A 4,771-nucleotide genomic window follows, 5' to 3' on the forward strand; every position below is an offset into this window, starting at 1 on the left:
CCAGGAGATCACGCTCTTTAAACATGCAGGAGGAGACATATTTCTTTGGAAGATGGGGGTGGATGCAGCACTCCAGTGCCAGCCTCAATGTCTATGGTGCAAATGTAAAAATGAACAATTTTTCACCATAGACACTGGTCCTGGCACTGGAATGCTTTGTAACAACATATTTCCCTCCTAAGAAAATTACTTAAAACTAGGACCCCCAGTCTCCATGTTGTATCGGTCAATGCAATTTTATAATATATAATACAACGTTGTCTTTACACATTCACATATAATATATCTCATTATTTTATAGACAATTGCATTTGGACTGCAAATTTCATTGCCAAGTCCTTAAATATCCAGTAGGGTCTATGTTTCTTGTTTCTTGGGTTTCAAAGGATAATTAACTTAATAATGAGCTGCTGTGAGCCTTTATATTAGCTTAGTTGAGAGCCAAATTGCTAAGTATCTGTGGGGTTGGAATCATAGGTCTAGCCTTCCATTTGGTTAGTTCCAGGCCTTTATCGGATTGAGGGATACACTGGGACTTACGTGGCAATTCCTGACAATGGGATTATGTTGAATCATTTTATGCTCCTCACCGAAACATTTTGGTACTTTTCTGGAACCCCACATTTTCTGCTGTGTGTAATTTTTGAAAGAGAACGTGAGTATTGCCTTCACATTCTTCATGGGAAACTTTTTGACATTTTAAAAAGAGACCACGAGAAGTTTATTAAAGGGTCATAAAAACAGGTTACTATTGAAGATGGTCCTTTCTTTGCATCTTGGTCTTGCCAGTTTCATCTACCTACCCATGAGAGGAATATTCAACAGAGCTAGAGAGACTGCGTGTTCCATTATGAACCAGCTTTGTGATCCCAGCCCAGGGTTTTTATCTGAGCATGAACAATCTGGCTTTGCGGGGCAAGTGTGTCAGCTCGCCCCCAGAATTTCAGCATCAGGCCGGGGGCCTCTGCTGCTGAGCTAGCCTCCACCCTTTGAACTTCTCCACCTTCCCACCAGTTCCCCCAAAACAACTCTGCAAAAGACAGGAGTCAGCCCCTGAAAAGCATACCAGGCATTTTAAAACACAACCCTGACATTTCCTCAGCATTTCCATAGCTAGGACTCTTCCCGCATGCAACCTTCCCCGCTACCCCCCTTCAATCAAATAAGGCACCCGCTCTCTCATGCTACTGCAAAGAAGGAAGAAAAAAAAGTTGGCAATTTAATTCAAACAAAAGAAGCTTGAAATCTATAAGCACAGCAACTCCGAGGCTTCTGGCAAATAGAATTCTAATTAGTATGCTGCTATTTTTCTTTTAGACAGATGAGCGATGCCCCCTATTGACTCTAGCAGGCAGGCTGGTAAGGGGAAAAAAATAAAATAAAGGGGGGGGGGCGGTGGGGGCTAGCCAGCAAACACTGCAGATTGCAAATTATATTGCAAACCTTGCCAAGTCCCAGCTCTTGGCATCAGATTTTTAATGACACCCTGGAAAAGGGAAAAAGAAGCCCTCAGCTAAGGGATAAAAATGAAGGGTTTTACCCCTGTGATAAGTCTTCTCTTAAAACCCAAATGGCCAAGCGCACATTAGGGTTTTAAAATATTCATAGATAGAAGTGAAAATGAGGATATGAGGAAGTACATTTGTTGCTTGGTCAATTGACAACTCATTCTGCATGTTAATACAGAGCGATGATCTAATTTTAAAGAGATAGCCTTTTTTTTTTTTTTTTTTTTTTTTAAGCATGACTTTTGATTACTCTGAGACTGAGGGCAAAAGATCACAGCGAAGGCTATGATGACACAGACACTACTTTCTTTTGATGTAGACCTTGGACTACTTCTTTGGTCAAGAATTCTGGGGGCTCTAAAACTATGCTTCCCTTCTTATGTAATCTCTCTGATGTATCTCCACTGAGGACTTTGATACCCCCCCTTTTTTTCCCATCTCTTTTTTCCTTCTATGGTACATGAGGCCCTTCACAGTTGTAGAATCTTACACACAAATAGATCACCACACACAGGAAGGCCCTTCCTTTTAATAATTAGGCCACCTTCTGTTCTGGGGAACCTTTTTTGGCATACGTATTCCCATGTTGAAGGTCTGCGAAGCACCAAGGAAAAGCAAAAAAATTGTTAAAGAGCAAAACATTAGCCTCTATCCAGGCAAAGATAACATCATGGTCTACATAATAAGAATCCCATGAAATTGTTTCTAATTGAAAACTTTGAATCTATAGTCTAAAACATTCATCCACAGACCAGTTTGCAGCTGTTTCGGGTGGAGGTGGAGGAAGTTACGAATCTATTCTACTTATTTCTTGGTACAAATTTAAATTGGATTTTGTCTTTTCAGAACAACATCAGAGGTGCAGAAAAAGCATTCTAAAAAATCTACAAACTGTTTTGACTTTTCTAGTTGAAATATCAGGCTTCTCATGCTTTTGTCCTGAGTGAGCAGAAGGATATATGTTGATCCTGGAGGTAGGGTAAATTTCCAGTGCAAAACAGTGAGAACTCTTAAAAAGCAAAATGGTAAGATTAAAGGCAAAATGCGGAGCCCTGGTCAACGCAGGACTCCTTACAGTGAAATATGGGAAGTGAAAACAGGTTGCGTATGTCTGTGGTCATGCTATCCTAGAAGCAGTGCCAGGGTGAATTTACAGAACCAAGTGGAGTGAGCCAACCAAAGAAGCAAAGTTAAATTCCCCCCCACCCCAAAAAGAATGGAATATTTAAAAATTTATCTTTCAAGAAGAAATTATACCCCAAACTGTAGAGAAAGCTTTTGTCGTTGTAAGAATAGGCAGCATACACTGAGGGCCTCCTGGATGCCATTAGAATCAAGGGTTTCCTTGGAAAAATATAGAACGAATGACACTAGGTCCCACCATGCAATCTGAACTCTATTTAGGTGAAATAAATCTATAAGCTATTTAGTTGAAAAAGTGGATTTTTTGTTATATGTAAACTTATTTAAAACGTTCTATTTAAAGCAATCTGTTTTAAGGTCACCAAGGAATGGTTCAGAAATATGCACAAAAAAGATAATTCTATTTTTTTTAGTAAACTGCTTGCAAAGCAGTTACTGTCAAAACCTTGTTGTGTGAGATTGTATTAATAGTAGGAAGCTTAGAACCAGCATTGTCGGTTGCCGCTGGCACACATGGGCCTGCTTAAGTTTTAGGGAATGCCCTTTAAATGTAGTCCTGAATAATGATCCACATTATTTGCTTCTTTAGTGACTAAGACATTGTTTTTAAGGACAGTGTTTTATATATTTGGAAGGGGAGAGATGAGAATAGTCAAGCCGTTAGCATATGAGACAGACAAAAAGTTTATGAGTTTTAATAAAGGTGGCAAACAGGAGAGTCAAGTGCTGCTTCGAGAGATCTTGCCATTGAAAAAGGGGCAGTGTCCTATCAATTATCAAAACTTGCAATTACTCCTGACAGAGCTGCTTTTCAGTGAAAAACTTTCTCCACCTCCCTCCCCTCCCCCCACCAACCTCACATACTGGTTGAATTTCGTTTGCAGGTGAAAAGAGGTGACAAGCAATTTTAGCACCCAATGGCTTAAAGGAGTTCAAATGACCACTGAAGTCATATTAACTTGTCAAATTGACCAGTATTTTCTGTCATTGAAACATTAGAATGAATAGCTCCAGACAATAAAATTGTTTCAATTATACTGCATTAGGCTTGGGCACAAGTAAGTAAAGATGCAGAAGGCAAAAGGGGAACCCACAGTCCACGTGTTCTTGGATGCTGACAGTAGAATTCTACTGGAAACCATTTAAATGCATACCTGTTAGGAGGATATTGGCAGTACTTGTAAATGAATTCCCATTAAGGAAAGTGGACAAATAAGTCTACATTAGTCCAAAAAATAAAAAAAAGAATGCAACTGTTTATTGTAATATTGGCTATGGATATGAACTAGATTAAATGAAATTATCCCAAGTTATTAAAGTCACAGTAAATTGGTGCTAATTATACTAATTGAGTATTAATTGAGATTTCTTTCATAAATAGCAAGGAGGTGAGGTAAAAAGGAGCAATTTTCATAGTCCAAAATGAATACAGTTCTGTTCACCCTTCTGTTTGCACCAGAAGAGGTATTGATCCTTTGCAATCCCCCCTACTTTGTTTCTCCTAAGAGGGAAGCTGCCTGCAGGAGAGAAGACTGGAGCTGGTATGGATTCCTGCACTGTTGCAGACTGGTGCAGAGGGGGAAAGCCAATTCAGAGTTTCCTGGTGGGATGGCACGTGGGCGCACATGCATGTGTGTGGGGGGGAGTGTGTGGCATTGCCCAGACTTCGAGGTTCTGATTGACAGACCACTGGGCCACACTCACCTTCTGCCAAGACTGACTCTGCTACTCAAGCAATTCTGAAGGTGCTGGGTTGTTCTCAAGCCAAGAATTTTAGAGTTGGGCTGCCGGGCACAGGGCAGATAGGAAAATTGAACAGGGTGTGTATTGAGAAAAGTGAGGGGTGGGGAGCAGACTGATATCATCTCTTCTTTTTAGAGAAAAGATCCATCGTATGTTTGAGGTATTTTTATATCTTTATAATAATGCTTTCTTCCACATCAAGGGAAGATTAAGGCCACTGCCAGAAAACTATTATCATAAGAAAATATATTCTTATCCTCTACTTAATTTTGTTTCTCTTGAGTTGGAACTATTGCAGATCTTTAGTACCCCCGTGGTCATCCACTGGCCTATTTTGGTGTGGCCAAAGTTCACAATCCTTAATATTTTAAGTAAAT

The 4,771-nt window shown here is 39.9% G+C and overlaps 1 annotated feature.

Annotated features, from left to right (window-relative positions):
- Positions 317-2,557: an enhancer, noted in NCBI's record as "VISTA enhancer hs1320". NCBI's record gives its function as "enhancer in: forebrain[3/8]" and the evidence as "EXISTENCE:transgenic organism evidence [ECO:0001131][PMID:17130149]".

Source organism: Homo sapiens, chromosome 15, assembly GCF_000001405.40.
Source record: "Homo sapiens chromosome 15, GRCh38.p14 Primary Assembly".
Lineage (NCBI taxonomy): Eukaryota > Metazoa > Chordata > Mammalia > Primates > Hominidae > Homo > Homo sapiens.